This window comes from Homo sapiens, chromosome 6, assembly GCF_000001405.40.
Source record: "Homo sapiens chromosome 6, GRCh38.p14 Primary Assembly".
Taxonomy (NCBI): Eukaryota; Metazoa; Chordata; class Mammalia; order Primates; family Hominidae; genus Homo; species Homo sapiens.
Window position 1 is genome coordinate 71,216,798 of NC_000006.12, and position 20,410 is coordinate 71,237,207.

At 35.5% G+C, this 20,410-nt stretch overlaps 1 long non-coding RNA gene across 2 annotated transcripts; it reads right to left on the minus strand.

Annotated features, from left to right (window-relative positions):
- Nucleotides 1-7,782: 7,782 nt before the first annotated feature.
- On the minus strand, nt 7,783-17,975 carry LOC124901338 (uncharacterized). Of its 2 annotated transcripts, XR_007059632.1 has the most exons (3): nt 17,746-17,975; nt 16,716-16,860; nt 7,783-9,053 (listed from the first exon to the last, which is right to left on the minus strand). It is a non-coding gene; the product is annotated as an uncharacterized LOC124901338 (long non-coding RNA). The 2 variants fall into 2 exon arrangements; XR_007059631.1 differs by lacking the exon at nt 7,783-9,053 and having other exon boundaries at nt 16,396-16,860.
- Nucleotides 17,976-20,410: the final 2,435 nt, after the last annotated feature.

The window sequence follows — 20,410 nt, forward strand, 5'->3', positions numbered from 1 at the left end:
GCACAATACAGAAGTCCTTTGCCTCAAAAAGTCAGATACTGTTGAACAAAAACTTATTTTAACATAGCAAATATAAATACAATTGTAGTCACCACTAAAGGTGATTTTTTACTTGCAACAAGAAATAACTTACTTTAGCCCATTCTCTTTTTGGAGTTTTCTTTGTCAAAATATTGACTTTCCCTTGTGTATAGAACTCCATTTATATGCCATCAAAATAAGTAGGTTAATGGGGAATTCAGGAAATTTTGATTAAAACATTATCATTCAAGGACTTTTTTTTCTACCTTTGATTTATGCAGAATTTTGTTTATTATTGGCCACTTTGCTTGGAAAAAATACTTTTTTATATAAGTATGTCCATAAGAAAAACACTAATTTTTTTTAGTTAGCATTTTTCTCCTCACATTGATACATTGTGAGGCTTCTCTGACTTGCTTTATATGTATAAGGATTGATAACTTCTTATAGCAATAATTTTTTTTACTGTAAATTTGGTTACTACTTCAGATAATGTGCTACCTTAGTGTAGCATAACTTTTTTCCCAAACTACTTCCAAGGATTAAGTCTTACTAAATACAATTTTCAGAAAAATCTTTTAATAATTATCCTGGGGCATCTGTGATTAAAAAGACCCCCATATGTTATTATTAAATTCACTTGTATGCAGAAGCAACTTGAAATTGAGATGACAGTTTTGCTATTACATGAATTTGGCCAGAACATACTATAATAACTATATTCTCTGCTGCCCTGTCACTAAAAATTTTTTCAAGATTTTCTACACCAAAGAATTTCTAATCACATACACATTTAAGAAAGTACTACATTAGAACAAATACCTAATGCATGTTTTTTACAATCATAAAAACACAGATGAATTTAGTTTTCCATTATCCTGCCAGTGACTGGAACCTGGCTTTTGCCCTGAGACTTGATCTCACAAAGACATATCCTCTTCCTATTTCCAGGACTTCTGTGGCTTTTATTAGACCACCCCATCAACACAGAGAGAAGACAGCCATTTGCTACATATAATTCAAAAGAATTTCTTCAAGACTTTTTTGAGGTAATATCAGAAAGTTTCCTTGATCTCTGCATTAAAAGAAAATTGGATCTTAAAGTTAACTCTACAGAAATGCACCCTTTGGAGTATCACAAATAAAACAGGTTTTCTGCCTGGGGACAGTTGTCTATTGCCCTAGCAGGTTGCACTTACTATACTATGGAAAATGAAACACTACTACATTTATCTGTCTGAAAAATTGCCCCAAGAAGGATGTTTACTATCTCCACTATTATTTCATGTTGAATTGGGAGTGTTGGACATTGTATTCAGATAAGACAAAACAAACAGGGGCACAAGAATGGGGAAAAATAAAGGAATAAAACTATGTCTATTTGCTACTGATGAGATAATATTCTTGGGAAACCTGAGATAGTCAGTAATAAAATGAACATATACATAAATTTGGTAAGGATACAATTTTATTATATGAAAATCAATAATCTCATATATACAAACAATAACCAGTTAGAAGACATAATGGAAGAAAAACCCCATTTACAACAACAAAAATATAAAATAGGAATAAACTTAAAAAGAAATGTGAAAAATCTACAAGGGAAACTTTAAATACACCTGAAAAGGGACAAAAGCAGATTTTAATTAAAAGAAATTCTTGTGTGTGTGTGTTTGTGTGTGTGTGTGTATGTGTGTGTGTGTTTTGAGATGATGTTTCACTCTGTCACCCAGGATGGAGGACAGTGGCAAGATCATGGCTCACTGCAGCCTCAAACTCCTGGGCTCAAACAGTCCTCTTGCCTGAGCCGCCGTTGGGACTACAGGCATGTGTGACCACAGGCACGTGCAACCCTGCCTGGCTAATTTTTTGAATTTTTTTTGAGAGACAGGGTCTCACTTTGTTGCCCAGGCTGGTCTTGAACTCCTGTGCTCAGGCAATCCTCCTACCTTCTCCTAAAGTCCTGGAGATTACAGGCATGAGCCAGTGTTTCCGGCTGAAATTCTTTATTCTTACATAGAATGACTCAACATAAAAAAGTTAATTCTCCCCAAGTGAATATATAAATTAAATGTGATCTAACAAAAATCCAACAAGTTTTATTTCTAGAGCTGTATAAGTTGATTCTAAGGTTCATATTGTAAAATAAACAAAAAAGTAGCTAGGAAAATTTATTCTGAATAACGTTTTACCAATTACCAAAGTTATACAAACTTCTGTACTTAAAATAGAGGGTACAGGTGCATACAGAGACACATTAGTAAAAAAAAAAGTATTATAGCAATTTCAGAAAGAGAAACAAGCACATATAAAAATGTAATATATGATAAAGATGGTGTCTCAAATCACTGAGCAAACACAGGCTTTTTTTGTTTTTATTTTACTTTAAGTTCTGGGATACATGTGCAGAACGTGCAGGTTTGCTACACAGGTAGACATGTGCCATAGCGGTTTGCTGCACCTATCAACCCATCATCTAGGTTTTAAGCCCTGCATGCATTAGGTATTTGTTCTAATGCTCTCCCTCCCCTTGCCCCCAACCCCCCAACAGGCCCTGGCGTGTGATGTTCCCCTCCCTGTGTCCATGTGTTCTCATTGTTCAAAAACACAGGCTTTTTAATAAATTATGTTAGAACAACTGGAAAATCACCCTTACTTTACATCATAGACGAGAGCAAACTCTAAATGGGGCAGACATCTAATGTCAAATATGAAACAATATGCTATGGTTTGAATATGTCACTTCCAAAACTCAGGTGTTGCCAATGTGATAGCATTAAGTGAGGCCTTTAAGAGAATATTAGACCATGAGGGCATTTCTTTTAACAATGGGATTAAGGCTTTATAAAAGAGGCTTTGCACAGCATTTGGCTTACTTGCCCTTTCATTTCTTCCACCATGTGAGGATACAGCACATCTCCCCTTTGGAGGATGCACCAACACAGTGCCATCATGGAAGGAGAGATAGGGCCCCTTATCAGACACCAAGACTGCTGGGACCTTGATCTTGGACTCTCAGCCTCCAGAACTGTAAGAAATAAACTTTTTGTTCTTTATAAATTACCCAGTCTCAGGTATTTTGTTCTAGCAGCACACACTGACTAAGATACCACACAAGGACTGGAAGAGAACTGGTGAAGTTTTTTAGTAAGCTATGGATAAGTTATGACTCAAGTTCCAGATACAATAAAAGACTGATACACTCAAGTACATTAACAAAAAAACAACAACCTCTGAATGACTTAAAACACCATAAACAAAGTCAAATGACAAATGGTAGATGGGGACAAAATATTGGCTATGTTTATCTGTCTCAAAAATTTCCCTAAAAAGGATGTGCACCATCTCCACTATCATTCCATGTTGCATTTATCATAGATAAACACAGGACTTGTAGCTCTAACATACAAAAATTTCTTAAATAGATTTTTCAAAATCTATTTAAGAAATGAGCAAAGGACACAACCAGTTCACAGAAAAAAGGCCCTCAAATATATAACAAGTTTTATAACTTCTTTCATAATAAGATAAATACAAATGGAAACTTCAATGAGATACCATTTCTCGCCTATTAGAATTAAAAAATTCAAAAGCTCGATAACACATTTTGTATACAGGGCTATGAAAAACAGGTTCCCAAATATTGTGGATGAGAACGCAAAATGCTACAGTCTCTATGCAGGGAAGTTGGCTTTATCTAACAAAATTACACATGTGTTTATCCTTGGCACAGCAGCAATTCCCACTTGTGGGAATTAACCTGAAGATACACTTGCTCGAATGTGAGGGAAAAAACTAACAACATATGCACAAGGTTATTCACTGAAACATTATTTGTAACAGCAAAGTATTGGCAACAACCCAAATGTTCAATCACAGGAAACTGGTAGAATAAATTACGATGAATTCACACATGGAATACTAGTCACAATAAAAATAAAAAAGATTAAGAAAGACCTCAATTGATATGAAGTGATTTCCAGGATACACAATAATTTGGAAAAAAATCACCTAAGTATATGTAGTATACTACCTTTTGTGTAAGAAAGGGAAATGAGATGATATTTATGCATTAGATAGGTAGAAAGATATATAAGTAACAGATAGGCACATGCGCGCATGTGTGTGTGTGTGTGTGTGTGTGTGTGTGTGTGTATTATAAAATAGCAATACAGGAAGGATAAACCAAAAATGAATATGTTTTTACCATAGAAAGAAAGTGGGTGGGAACAGGGTGGAAGTGATAGCATTGGCAGTGAGACTCCTTGGTATGTACTTTTTATATCGTTTTTACTTTTGAATGCTGTAAATGCTTTGCACATTCAGAAACAAAATTAAATTAAAAATAATGCGAAAAGATAATCCTGTAATTGGATATAAATGCAAACGAATGAGCCCATTTGTATAGAAAATTAATAACAATCACACAAAAAAATAAGTTTATTTAAGTATAATTTGAACGTCGTACCCTGACTGTATATCATTAATGTATTTTTCTAAGTATGAGAAAAACTGCAAAGAAATCTTGAATTTTATTGCGAGGTTCCCCCCCACCACCCCTGAGACAGAGTCTTGCTCTGTCATCCAGGCTGTAGTATTGTGGTGCGATCTCGGCTCACTGCAACCTCCGCCTCCTGAGTTCGAGCAATTCTCCTGCCTCGGCCTCCAGAGTAGCTGGGATTACAGACGCCCGCCACCACGTCCAGCTAATTTTTGTAGTAGAAACAGGGTTTCTATTTTTTAGTAGAAACAGGGTTTCACCATGTTAGCCAGGCTGGTCTTGAACTCCTGACCTCATGATCTGCCCACCTTGGCCTCCCAGAGTGCTGGGATTACAGGCATGAGCCATCGCTTTCGGCTAAGTTTTGTTGTTGATAAGGCTATTGATGTAATCATACTGGACCTATTTTGTATGTACTGTAGAAAAGACAAATTAGGAAATATATTTACGTTGTTGGGAACCAATGTTTTCACTGCAAGACATAGGAGTTACTAATGTGAAATGGAAGAAGGTATTGGATTTGAATTGTAGCTATCAGTGTGAACTTCAGACGTATATGTATTTCTAAATATGTTCCCCACTAAAAAAGAAAAAATATCAGAGTTCTTTCAGAAATGGCTGGTTCCAGGAAGGGATCAAGAAAGTACAAGGTAAAGCTTGGACATCTTTTGCCAGAAGCATGGGGACATAAAAAGACTCAAGAGCTGTCTGAATGGAATCCCACTTGCCATGTTTGGGATAATTTGAACATCAAAAAGAATAATATAGGTAATGGATTACAACCTAGTAAATAAAAGAACCCACAAGTCCAAAAATGATACTCACTAAAAAGGCAGATGGATATGAAAAGTACTTCTTCACAAAAGAATGCCAATTAATGAATATATAAATAATAGAATTAGAAATCCCCCTTTTCCAAACACTCACCATAATCATTTATTCAGGCAAAAATTCTCAATGGACGGTAAAACCATTGAGTGAGAAATTGTTGGGGCATAAGATATTCACATGGTCCCCTCAAAGTATTATCCCACAGATGACATTAATTTCAAAGTGTAAAAGATTCCTTTACAATGTTGAGATCTTGGAAACACCACCATAAATGAGTGATCAGTGTTAGCATTATCAATAATGGGACAAACTGACATCCTATACCTCTGAATGAGAAGCAGTGGGAAGTATACTTATGTAGTATTGCCAAAAATGGTGAACATGAATGTAATCGTGATAAAACAGTCCAGTTGAAATTTGGGGCACTAAATAAGACAACTGGCCTTAATTGGTTAAAAAGAAAAGTCAATGTCAAGAAAGGCAAACAAATACCTAGAGGGATATCTTTTCAGAGACGAAGGAAACGTGAACATTACTGCAAGGAGTGACTCTTGATTAGATCCTGGAAAAATAAAACAGGAATAAGAGACATTAGAATAACTGAAGACATTTGAATATAGATTTTAATTTGATGGCATTAGGGCATCAATGTGAACTGCCTTGTGTGTAATAATCTCATGGTATTGTGGTTAGAGAGATATTGTGGTTAGGAAGAAAAACGTATTTGTTTTTAGGTGACACATACTAAAGTACCCAGTGCAGAAGTATTATGATGTCTGCAACTTATATTCAAATGGTTCTGTAGGAAAAAGCAAAACAAAACGTAGAAAGTAAAAGGGAAATGACAAACAGGCAAAATGCTAACAACGGGTGAATCTAGGTGGAGAATATATAGATATTAACTGTACTATGCTTTAGACATTTTTTTTTGTTGGTTTGACTTCTTAAAAATAAAAAGTTGAGGAAAAACAAACCATACTGCAAAAAATTTTTTTTCTTGAGGTGGTTTCTACTCTATTGAGCATCTTAAGACAATTGTACATCATTCACATTCAAGTAGTTTATAGCAATTTTCCTTCGCAGATTGCAATCAGATTGATCAAATAACAGGAGTAGAAATGTTTATAACCACAGCAATAGCCTCTTCAAGTTTAAACATGTGATTCTAACCAAGGAGGGAAAGCGGTGTGGTAGAATTTCCCTAAAATCACAGAGGCTTTGTGTCATGCTTCCTAAATAAAAGGATTAATATTGTCAAGAAGACTGTGGAAAAGATAATTTTTAAAAAGAGATGACTCTTACTTTGGAAAAATATTTTGAGCGGATCAAGCTCTTTTCAGTGTGCCTTAAAACAAAATACCTGTATTTCGACTCTTTTCTTGTAAGGCAGCCATTGATTTAAGTATCCTTGTCTCACTGACTCACATTATTTCTTATCCATCAGGTGAATTAAAGATGACCAGGTTAGTAGTTTGCACTTCAGAAAATCATGAGCTGCTCCATGGCAATTTATGGTCTCTGGATAGCTTGTGTTGCTAGCCTTTCTCTCTTTCTTTCTTTCTTTCTTTCTTTCTTTCTTTCTTTCTTTCTTTCTTTCTTTCTTTCTTTCTTTCTTTCTTTCTTTCTTTTCTTTCTTTCTTTCTTTCTTTTTTTGATGGAGTCTTGCTCCGTCGCCCAGGCTGGAGTACAGTGGTGTGACCTCGGCTCACTGAAACCTCTGCTTCCGGGTTCAAGTGATTCTCCTGCCTCAGCCTCCAAGTAGCTGGGACTGCAGGCATGCGCCACCAAGCCCAGCTAATTTTTGTATTTTTAATAGAGACGGGGCTTCACCATGTTGGCCAGGCTGGTCTCAAACTCCTGACTTCAAGTGATCTGCCTGCCTGAGCCTCCCAAAGTGTTGAGATTACAGGTGTGAGCCACCACGCCCAGCCACCTAGCCTTATTTCTTTAGAGGTTTTCCTTAAATGTGCTCATTACTTCTCCAAATGGCAAACATGTGACTTGGAGTATCAAAACCTATCTAAGTCTATGCAATTTGTGACCAGAGACAAATTTATGTGTGGGGAAAAGAAATGAGTCATCCTTTTGTAATTAGTGACCACCAGCCTGGCCACGAAAACTACCAGGACACAGACCTACACTTCAAAACTTTTTCCTATGTTGATCTTCTGAGAATCAATTTTTATTACCTCCCTTATGAGAAATTAGACAAAATGCAAAGCATCATTATCTTAGAGCAATTATTTTTACTCTGTTAAAGCTAAGAGCTTCCATTGTCGTGAATAACATACAGTCCCAAAGCATGGTGGGTGATGAGAAGAAAGTCTTCAATTCTCCCATTTAATTTTGTCCAGTATTTTGCCTACCTCCAAATTAGAATGTCTGTCCAGGCTAGCAGAGCTGTATGGTCACCAAGGGGACTCAGATTTTTGGGAGTCTGACATTTATTTATTTATTTGTTTGTTTTCATAACCAACTTCAAGAAAAATAATTCAAAAGTTATAAAAAGAAAGTCAGGTACAAATATAAATGTTTATTTAGAATGCGAAAGAAATCACATCTAAGTATAACTTTTAAAAGCTAACAAATACCACAAATAGAAGAATCCTGAAAAATTATATATATTTATATATAATGTTTATATTATAATGTGTATATATAGTACACATGTATATCTACATACATATATATGTATATTTGTATATATACACATATATAATATGTAATACACATTATATATGTATGTGTGTGTGTGTGTGTGTGTATATATATATATATAAAATTACTTAACTCCCTAATACATCTTTTCATTTTTTGGCTGTAATCTATCAATCAACTTTTCATGAGACATCAATTTTTATAATATTTGTAATAAAGACAGTAGTGAGGTAATTTAGTCTTTCCTCAAGCATGTCTGATTGAACTTTATAGAATGCAATTACTTAGAAACTTTCTGCCTTTATAACTTGTTTTGGGTAATGTCCTGAAATTTTAAGCATTGTTGCCAAATTTGGAAAAATCTCTAATGTTTCTTTCATATACAAATTATGAGATTTTAGGCCATTATTGAGTACATGTTTTGGTGGGAGAGAACTTTTGTTTTGATTGAGAATCAGTAAAAGCCTAACTCTCACAATTTTAGATATCTGATTATTGGAAGATGAAATTATGTTTCCAGGTATTTCAAGCCTCATTCCTCATTTATCTTTCACTGCTTACATGTTCTGAAAGTAGGAATTGTAGGCACCTTTGTGTAATATGCAAGATGAACAGTCATAGGAGATGGTAGAAGTTTTTCTGGAAGCAAACTATGCAGTGGCAACCAATCTAACTATACATGGAGTTGGCTGTGAACCATGTAAGTATATTATGCTGGACCCAGCACTTCTCCATGGCTGCTCTGGGACCTTCTGCCAGAGGAGGAGTATGATGCAGGAGAAGTCGTGGTAGAAGATGACAATAGCATTACCCAATTGCAATAAGAATATCTTACTTTAGCAAATTTTACAAAAGCGTATGAACATGTGAACACTTTACTAGGAATTAATCTTCTTCATTAGTTTCAGAGTAAACCCATTTCTGGCCATGATTACAATAGGAGAGCTGTCCTTGTCCAAGTCTTTAGTATTTGCGGAGGAGCCAAAAAATACAGGGACCATGCTTTGTGGCCCTCTCCATTCATCCATGCCATGAACATCTGTGTAGGAGTAAGAGGAAGCAATATATTTTACTCTTCTGTTGGTGCATCTTCATTTGAGTTTGCCCACATGGATACGTAGGAATGAATGAAATTAGCAAGCTTTTTTGGGGTGCAGTGGTAGTCGGTATATAGCCTAATGGAATATTGTGAAATTTTTAATTATATGATCACTGGGATGCCTCATAACTGTACAGAAAAATATTTCAAATAACATTTTCAAATGTAATAAGTTTAATATTCCAGCAAATACTGAATATTAGGTGAAAGGGATGAATTATGACCTGAAAGGAAAATGGGAAGTATATATAAATATCCACAAAGGCAAAAAGATATTAGCGTAACATTACAAAATCCAACCAGAATATTTGAAAAAAAAAAAAATAAGGGTAAATACCACTCTGCATTTTCCCTTCTCCTAGGGAAGAAGTTATTTATGTAGAGTAGAAGATATGATAGGATATTTCCTTTTTGAAGGTGGTGGCAGGTGGCTGCCTGTTGGAGTGTGAAAAACAAGTAGAATCATTTGGATGCAATTCTGAAAATATTAATCAAATGACAAAATACAAGCAGGGAATAATTTTCCCTACCTCTTGGGATTTTTTTGTGGAGAAACTTAGGAAGCTATTGGAATAATGGAAGGTGATAAACTATGTCTCTAAGAAATAATAACTACCAACATAAAATGAGATGAATTATTTGATAATATAGACTGTGAAAAGATGCCTTTCAAAACATATTCAATACAGATTTCTTCTTTAGCAGTTAGTTACTGTGATTTAAAATTTTTACACATCTTCAGAAGCTCACTGTATGCAATATTGCAATATATATTTGTATTATTGCCCAAAGAAACTGACAAGGACTAATTTTTTAGTTGACATTAGTTGAGTCTAGTAACCTTTTTGATTTTCTGTGCAGAGGGGCGTGTCTGTGTGTCTGTGTAACTGTGTGTCTGAGCTTTCATACCAATAGATTGAGAATCTAAAAGCTTATGTTTCATTTCTACCTGTCACCAACTAGTTCTTTAATTTTAGAAAAATTCCTTAAATTAAGCCTTAGTTTTATCATTTGTATAGTGAAGACTGGGACATACAATATCTAAGATTTCTTTACATTCGAACATTCTATGATTCTATGTATGTTTGTTGAATACTAGCATTCCTTTATTCAGGAAATGGATTAAACAAAACCTAGGCTATTGAAAATGAAAATATGATTAAGATTACTGATTCCATAACTAAAGTAACTAGGTAATGAGTATTAATGGCCCTAAGATTACTTGAGGCTTCCACCTAATGCTGTCATCTCTCCATCAGCCGTAATTTTTTGCCTTTTTTCTCTCCTCAGTCTCAGCAGATGATCTTATCTCCTGCTACATCTAGAAAATGGAAGCCATCAGACTCCATCTTCTCACCACTGAGGCTACAAAAGATATCTACACCTGCAACCCTTTCCCTTTTTTTCTTCTTCCCTTTTGTTATGATGTATAAAGTGTCCCTTATCCAATAAAGAGCTAATCATTCTGCTTGGGGTTGTAGCCCCTTCCCTCTTACTTCAAGGACTTCAATGCTCCCTTCTCCTGGAAATAGCCTCCTCCCTCAGCTTCCCTGAAGCCACACCCTGCTGAATTTTTACCTACTAAATTATCCCTGCTCTCTCTTCTTACTTCGTTTCCAGGATTCCCTCTCTGTCTCAGATCTATCAGTGTTGGAGGCCATCTGTGCTTGGTCCAAGGTTCTCTTCTGCCTTTTCTCAGTCCTCACTTCTAGGTGCTCTCATACATTCTCACAGCTTTATATCCTTTCTATTTGCTGACAAATGTCAAATATATATGTTCAGCGTGACTGCATATGCAAATAACTGCATATATGCAAATGACTACATGACTATTACTTGTATGTTTCTCAAATATTCAAATTTAGGCTATATAAAGCCAAATTCTCAATCCTGTCTGTAACTACTTTCAACTTGGAAATAAAACATTCAATTCTCTCTCTGTCTATGGCCTCCATGCTCATGATAGCTCAGGTGAGCAACTATGGTCTTGATTCCTCTTGTTCCTACCATCAACATTCAAGCCTAGAGTACTGTTGTTTCTCCCTCCAAATTATGTCATGAACCTGCCTGTTTCTCTTCATTTCAAATGTAAGCTTCTTAGTCCACACCACTATGTTTTCTCACATGGGCTTTTGTAATAGTTTCATGGCCTCCTCCCTGCTTCCACTTTTGTTTATTTATATCTCCTGCCCTCCCAGCATTGAGAGTATACAATAAAGATGCTATTATTAGAAAAGTGATATAAAGACAATAATTATTCAGGGAATACAGAAAAGTAAGAATAACAATGTCAAAATTCTCCTGAAACCCTACCACTTGGAAATATGAGCTAAATATTGTTGTAAAAAACTATTTATGCATTTCTTAGATAGGTGGATAGATGGCAGACATTGTTTTATAAGAAAAGATACTATTTAATATTATTACATTTTACTAATAGCCACTCCTTTGAAATGTGTGTGTATGTGTGTGTGTATACATGCATATATAGTTATATACAATTTTGTCAAAATAAGGAAAATTTTATAAAGAATAAACAGCATTAAAGGGCTTGCTATAAAAAGCAACCATCGGTTACCACATCCCATCCCTTCCTGAGTATGTCATCTTAAACCCTTGATAACTTTTATTTTACATTTTTAAAATTCTAAGTTGATTAGTCATGAGGGTTTGGATTATCTACTTTAAACATTATCTACCAACTTCCTGCCATGGTAAATGAGGTTTTAGCTCACTTATACTTCACTTGACTCCCCTCTCTTCCTCTTCCCACAGCAAGTTTTACTACTTTTAATTCCTCTTGTGGTTACTTTCATACCTGCAAGACTATACGTTTTCTCCTGATTTCTTGTTCTGTTAGTTAGACACAACCTATCGTGACCCCATACCTTGTAAGGTGAAGAAGGCCCTTAATCCCTCCCCCCTTTCTCTTCCTTACCTTTGCAAGATTTGTTTTCACTTTTGTATTGGTAAGCCTCAAAAAAATTACCTTTTATCATATAACCACAGTTAGATTGTCTGTGTTTTCACTTTGTTTAGACGTTAGAAGTTGAAAAATCAGCAGGCATTGCTTACATTATCACAACTATGTGAATGTGGTTCATTGCTGAGCCAAGCAGTGATTACATAACATATAGTTTTTGCGTACAGTGCTCCTTTCCCTCAAATTTCTACTTGCCTTTTTTTTTTCTTTAGCCAATCTTTAGGTTTATGATAGCTGTTTTAAGGATACTATCAAGTTTATGAAATACCACTCTGCCCCAGCATACACCTTTTTTTAAATGTACACTTATTTTCGGACCCTACTTTAGGACTGATTTTGCTGCACAGCAGTCAGCTTGGATCTTCCCTTTCTTCTTGTCCCAGGTTAGACTTGCTGTTTCCTACATCCCATGCCTTTCCCATTTTAAATTACTTTTTTCAATGTTTCTTTCTGACCCATAAGTAACCTCATAATAAAGGATGCAGGGGAGATACATTTTATGAGTCTTTAGAGATTGGAAAATACTTTTATTCTATCATCATACTTGATGAATGATTTGGCTGGGTAAAGATGTTTAAGTTCAAAGTCAGTTTCACCAGACTTTTGAAGTTGATGCTCCTTGCATGACTTCAGTGTTGCTGTCTTTTCTCTCTGAAGCTTTCAGAATATTCTCTTTAACCTTGATATTTGCAAATCTCTCAATATTATGTTTAGGATTTTTTAAAAAATTTCACTTACTGTGCTGGACAGTTCCTGGAGCCTCAAGAAAGCTAATGTGTGCTATCATCTTTGCACAGCCATGTGCCACGTAACAATCAGTCAACAGTGGACTGCATATATGACAGTGGTGCTTTAAGATTATAATGAAGCTGAAAATTCCTATGGCCTAGTGAGTTCATGGCCATCATAATGTGGTGCAACGCATTACTCACATGTTTGTGATGATGCAGTTATAAACAGATCCCAACACCGAAAGATTTTCATCAATAGAGAAGATGCTCATGATGCATTATCTACTTACAAGCAAATCTATGCTGAAAAAGGAAACAAACCAAACAAACAACTATAGACATATTTCTGAAAAGAGTGACACCTGCTCAAGAAGAACCTCAGGTAAGTTTTCAGGAGATGTTCAAGAAGAAGACACTGTTATCACAGGAAACAACACCTCCATGTGTTTTTGTTTTGATTTGAGACAAGGTCTTGCTCTGTCACCCAGGTGTGCAGAGGCAGGATGAGGTCTCGCCACAGCCTTGACTTTCCAGGCTCAAGCGATCCTCCCACTTTAGCCCCCTAAGTAGCTGGGACTACAGGTGGACGCCACTATGCCCAGCTAACTCTTTTGTGGGTTTTTTTTTTTTTTTAATTTTTAGCAGAGACGAGGTCTCACTATGTTGCCCGGGCTGGTCTCCAGCCCCTGATACCAAGTGATCCTTCCCCCTCAGCTTCCCAAAGTGCTGAGATTACAGGTATGAGCCACTGCACCTGATATAGCTCCATGCATTTTGTTGCCCCTGAAGATCTTCCAGTGGGACAAAATGTGAAGATAGAAGACGGTGAAACTGATGATCCTGACCCTGTGTAGGCCTAGGCTAATGGGTATGTGTATGCCTTCGCTTTTAACAAAAACACTTAAAAAATTTAAAAAGCTTATAGCATGAAGATATAAAGAAAGAAATGTTTTTGTGCTACTGTACTATATTATACTAACTATACTATTTGTTCTATTTTGTACTAATATTTTTGTACAATGCATTTGTGTTTTAAGCTAGATGTTATTTCAAAAGACTCAACAGGCTGGGCTCGGTGGCTCACGCCTGTAATCCCAACACTTTGGGAGGCCAAGGCGGGTGGATCACAAGGTCAGGAGATAGAGACCATCCTGGCTAACACGGTGAAACCCCGTCTCTACTAAAAAAAAAAAATTAGCCGGGCCTGGTGGCGGGAGCCTGTAGTCCCAGCTACTCAGGGGACTGAGGCAGGAGAATGGCGTGAACCTGGGAGGCGGAGCTTGCAGTGAGCCGAGATGGCGCCACTGCACTCCAGCCTGGGCGACAGAGCAAGACTCCGACTCAAAAAAAAAAAAAAAAAAAGAGTCAACAACTTAAAAGTTTACAAAGTAAAAAATATTATTAGTTTATAAAGTAAAAAAGTTACAGTAAACTAAGATTAATTTATTACTGAAGAAAAAAGTTTTAAATAAATTTACTGGAGCCTAATTCTACGGTGTTTATGAAGTCTATGGTAGTGTGCAGTAATATCCTAGGCCTTCACATTGACTCACCACTCACTCATTGGCTCACCTGGAGCAACCCTCAGTCCTGCAAGCTCCATTCATACTAAGTGTCCTATACAAGAGTACCATTAAAAAACAAACAAACAGACAAACAAAAAAAAACCTTTTATACTGCATTTTTACTATCCCCTTTCTAAGTTTCGATAGGTTTAGATATGCAAATATTTACCATTATGTTACAATTGCCTACAGTATTTGGTTCATTAGCATGCTGTACAGGTTTGTAGCTTAGGAGCTAGGCTATATGATATGGCCTAGGTGTGTATTAGGTTATACCATCAGGTTTGTGTAAGTACACTATTCCCACAGTAAAGAGATCAATCTAAGGATGCATTTCTCAGAATGTATCCCTGTCATTAAGCAATGCATGACTATATTCTCTCACATTTAAGAATATCTATTTGTGGTATTTATACTTGAGTGGAATCTTAGTGGAATACAATATTTTTGGATCACATTTCTTTTCCTTTAGAACTTGGTAGACATTGCTTTATCATCCTGTAACCCAGAATGTTACTCCAGAGAAGATTGAGTCCAGTCTGCTTTGCTCCCAAATATAAGAGGCTTATTATTTGTCTCTGGATGGCTAAATAATTTTTTCTTATTCTTAAATTCAGTAACAACAGAATATGACTTAGGAAAAATAGGGTTGAATATGTTTGTCTTGGAATATGATATGCACTTTTGAGTTGCAGAGTGTCTTATTCTTGCATTACAGGATTATTTTTCTATTTTCTATTGGAATACTTTTTCTGAGTCATTTACTGGTTTTTCAATTCAGAGATACCTATTATCTTTATATAATGGCATATTTGTCACTTCTCTCTAGCTATTATCTTCTCTCTATTTCTACTAATCTGTTCATCTTTTTCCGTTGATTTTACTGTGCTTATCTCAAGCCTTTTCTTTGTAGAGCAATTTATTTTTCAGCCATGTCCATTAAATTTCTTTCTGCATGTAATTTGTTTATAAGTTCTGTAATGGTGTTATTTTAGTTTCAATTTGTTTCCTTATATTGTCAATTTCCATTTTTACATCATTCTGTATTGTTATCATCTTACATTTGAGCTTGTATTTTATTCATTTCATGTACTTAATAAGATTTTCTATAGCATGAATATTTCTCTGTGTTCTTTGTTGCTATAGAGTTCCTTTCATTCTTATTTTTTGTTCTGCTTACCTAGTTCTCATGTCATCCTTTTTTCATCTTGTTCATATTTTCAGTGAGCTCTGCATCTGAACTCTGTTTTTTGTTCTGGTATAGATTGAGTGAATTCCCCTTAGGTCCCTTCCCATATTAACTGAATGTGAGGGTATTTCTCTACAAGATGTAGCTTGAGAGCTTGTAATTGATTTATACTCACTTCTAAGTAGCCTGAGGGTTTAGGTGTGTATGTCTTGGAAGATAGGCAGGAGTAGGGAGAGAGCTAAGCTAGGGCTAGGTACAACCAAGTATTTCAAATATTCTATATTCTTCTAGCTTTTTCTATTTGACCTGTTTTTTCTTCTTTTTCTTTTTTATTTTTGACCTTTTTTCTTATTGAAGTGTTTAACGTATCCTACTATAGTTCTGGATTTGTCAGTTTTTGTAATCCTATCAGTTTTCTCTGCCTAGTGCGATGTTATGTTTAAGTGCATACAAGTTAAAGATTATTTTATTGGCTTGGGGATTGTTCTGTATTATTTTATAATGCACCTGAGATGGTTTGCTGTGTCCTCATCCAAATCTCACCTTGGATTGTAGTTCCCATAATCCCCACCTGTTGTGGGAGGGACCTGGTGGGAGGTAATTGAATCATGGGGCGGTTTCCCCCATGCTGCTGTTCTCATGATAGTGAGTTCTCAAGAGATCTGATGGTTTTATAAGGGGTTTTCCCTCTTTGCTGGGCGCTTCCTTCTGCTGCCGCCATGTGAAGAAGGATGTTTTTGCTTCCCCTCCCACCATAATTGTAAGTTTCCTGAGGCTTCCCCAGCTATGCAAAACTATGAGTCAATTAAACTTCTTTTCTTTATAAATTACCCAATCTTGGGTATGTCTTTATTAGTAGCATGAGAATGGACTAACACGTCATCTTACTATAAATAATAAAATAGGTTTAATAAAAGAGGTTTAATAAAAACCTCTTAGTTTTTCAAAACTTTATGTTCAAAATTTTCTTTTGGTTTGGTGTTAGGTGTGCCTTTTATTAACCAGGATACAGCAGGATTTATGTTATTATTATCCCATCTCTGCCTTTTAATAGGTGAATTTTATCCACATTGACTCTGATACATTACACTTTTGGGCTTATTTGTACCATTTCCTTTTGTGCTATCTACTTACCTTTCACTTTCTTTGCTTTTTTGCTGTGTTCTGTTGGATTGACAAAGGATTCTGCATTTTTCTTTTTCTTCCTTTTTTTCAACTCCTCTACTTTCTCCTTCTTTTCCTCCAAATCATTCTATTCTTCCTCCTTCTTTTGATTCCTCTGGAGGTTTGAAAAATATCAAGATTATTTCTATTTCTATATTGGTAACCCTAAGATTATGCCTTATTTTTCTATTTCATGTATAGCAAATACATACAGATGAGCACACTTATATGCAGAAATGTTGATTTTAATATATTTTCACAAAGTAAATACATCTGTGTGACTATAACTCAGATTAAGACATAGAACATTGCCAATACCCTGAATCGCCCTCAGTATCTCCCTTCTCTTCTTAAGGTTAACCATATCTGTCTTCTTTACCATAGATTAGCTTTGTCTGTTTTGAACTTTTCATAAATGGGATATGACATGAACTCTGCATCTGGCTGCTATTGCTCATTCTTATGTTATTAGACTCATCTATGTTATTGATTATATTGATGATTAATTTACTTTTATTATTATGAAGTATCCCATTGAACGAATGCACCACAATTTATTTATCCATTCTACTCTTGCTGGACATTTGGATTGTTTCTAGTGTTTGGGGATTACAAATAATGCTGTTTTAAACATTCTCTAATTTCATTTCATTCTTTGTACCTGCCTTTCATTGACATTTCATTTACAACTCTGTTGGGTATATACCTAGGAGTGAAATACTGGCATTACTGGGTTGTAGGCTATGCTTATGTTTAGTTTTAGTAGTTACTGCCAAATAGTTTTCTGAAGAGGTTGTACCAATTTATATTCCCATGTGTAGTGCATAAAAGCTCCAGTTGCTGCATATCCTCAATATATGGTAATACCTGTTTCTCTAGATTTTACCTATTCTGATGAGTGTGTAGCTGCATGCACACAATTTTTAATTCATTCATTACTAATGATTTTGAGCACTTTATATGGCTATCACCCATTTATGTATTGTATTTCATGTATTACCTGTTCAATATCCAAGTTTATTCCAATTTTTTAATGGATTGTCTGTCTTTTATATGGCTTCACAGAAACATTTAATATGTTTTGGATAATAATCTTTTGTCAGGTAAAAATATTGAAAGTATCTTTTCCAGTTGGTGGTCTTCTCTTCCACTATTTGTGTTAGTCTATTCTCATGCTGCTGTGAAGAAATACATGAGACTGGGCAATTTACAAAGAAAAGAGGTTTAATTGATTCACAGTTCTGCATGGCTGGGGAGGACTCAGGAAACTTACAATCATGGCAGAAGGCATCTCTTCACAGGGTGACAGGAGAGAGAATGAGTGCAAGCAGGGGAAATGCCAGACACTTATAAAACCATCAGATCTCACGAGAACTCTCACTATCACAAGAACAGCATGGAGGAAACCACCCCCATGATCCAATGACTCCCTACCGGGTCCCTCCCATGATACATGGAGATTATGGGATCTCCAATTAAAGATGAGATTTGGGTGGGGACACAGCCAAACCATATGACTATTTTACTGGGGTTTTTGATGAACAGAGGTTCTTAATTTTAATTATGTCCCTTTAATCACTATTTTTCTTTAAAAAAATTTGCCCATCTTAAGGTCATAAAGATATTCTCTCTTATCTTCTTGATGTTTAATTGTTACTTTTCAGGTAGGCATATACCTCCAACCCTGAATTGATTTTTGTGTGTCATGTGAGGTAGGATGTCAAAATGTGTTTTTTCCTCATATAGATAACCAGTTGACCCAAAATCATTATTAAAAATACCATTCTTTTTTCATTTGCATTATGCTTTATCATGAAACAAATTGTCACAAATGTTTCTATTCTTTTCCATATTTCTATTTGTCTATTTTTATGCTAATGCAAAACTGTCTTAAATATCATCACTTTGCAATACATCTTGATAACCCTTAGAGGGATTTTGTCCTTCTTCAAAATTGTCTTCTCTGGTCTTGGTCCTTTACATTTCCATATATAGATATATTCAATTGTTAATTTCCAATAAAAATATTTTTAAGCTTTTAACATACAAAGCTGTGAATTATATATTAATTATAACTATAATTTTAAAAATATCTGAAATTATCTAGTATTTTTATCCTACTCAGAAACCCAAGAACCTAAACAGGAATATATTATAGATTGAGAATCTATTTTCCAGCACCTTGTTTGTGTTGCTAAGTTATTTGGATATAATATTCTAAATTTCCAGTTTCCCATCATTATATTGAATTTATTTCTCTATTGTTTCATGGCATCTATGGTTGCTAATGAGAAGCCCACTTGATTTATTGTTTAATTACCATTTCTTGTTGTAACCTGTTTTTCTCCTTGTAGCTGGTAAAAACATGTCCAAATTCTTGATGTATTCCAGTTTTACTTTGGTAAGTCTGGGTATGAATATATTTTTGTAGATCCTTCTTGGTTTTTATAGTTCATTTTCAATTTGAGGACATATTTTTCTTCAATTTTGGAAAACTCACAGCTCTTTTCTCTCCAAATATTACTTTCTTGTGACTTTTTCCTTCCTTAAAGAAAAATAGGCAGTCCTATTTGTCTTCAGACTATCCTATATAGTTTTAGGTGACCATACAACTATTGCCTAATAAATTATATTTATATAATTATGTTTATATAACCAGAGCCCCACCTAGCCTCTGTTTTCAAACCTGGCTCCAGTCTGCTAACTTCCATGGAGCACCTTCACTTCTCCTTCCCTGATTCTCAGGGGAGATGCATTTGGGAGTTAAAAGAAGTGCCACTAATAATTATATCAGGACAACAGATGTAAATTGGAACTCTCCCAAGCATACTACCCTGTGTGATCTCTCTGCTTAGCATTCTTCCATATTTTATTCTCTATGCTGTCTTCTGGGTAAATCCCTCAGTAATATTTTTCAGTTTATTGTTTTTCTTTTGTTGCCTCTGTTCCAAAGTTTACCCTATCTTTGAATTTTTTATTGCAATGAATAGATTTTTAACTCCCAAGATGTCTAATCATTCTGCTTTTTAATTTATTTGGCTTGTTTCATATCTGTCTGCTTTTCACATTTTATGTTTTTTTAAAAAAAGTGCATAGTTTTTTCCATTTTTCCCCTTAAGCATTCAAAGCATATTTATTCTTAAGTTTTGGCTAGATCAGTTTAATAAAATTTCACCTGGAATGAAATTATGTTCCAATTGTTGATTTTTGGCAGGATTACTTTCACAGCATTAGAATTCTCCCGCTTTGAAATTCTGTTTTGCAGCATCATGTTGAATGAAATTGCTCCCCTTCTTTCTCTTTCTTCAAATTTCTCTATCTAGCAGTTTTGCATTTCCTTCTCCCAAATTCCTGAACCCTACCTCCAAACCTAGTGCTGTATGACATTGCAGAACACCTGCCCTTGGTCTCAGCAGGCATATGATATCAGGCCCCAGGCCAGGTGCATTTAGCACCCTTCCTCAAGTGCAATGTGTGTTAGTTCTCTTGTTTCTGAAGTTCTCTGCAAAGCCATGGCCCCAGGGAATGGTTGGCTGCAGATTTTTAACCTCCTTTTACCAGAAGGAGCCTCATCTAGCCTCTGTTTTCAAATCTGGCTCCAGTATGCTAATTTCCATGGAACACCTTCAATTCTCCTTCCCTGGTTCTCAGCTGTCACTGCCTAC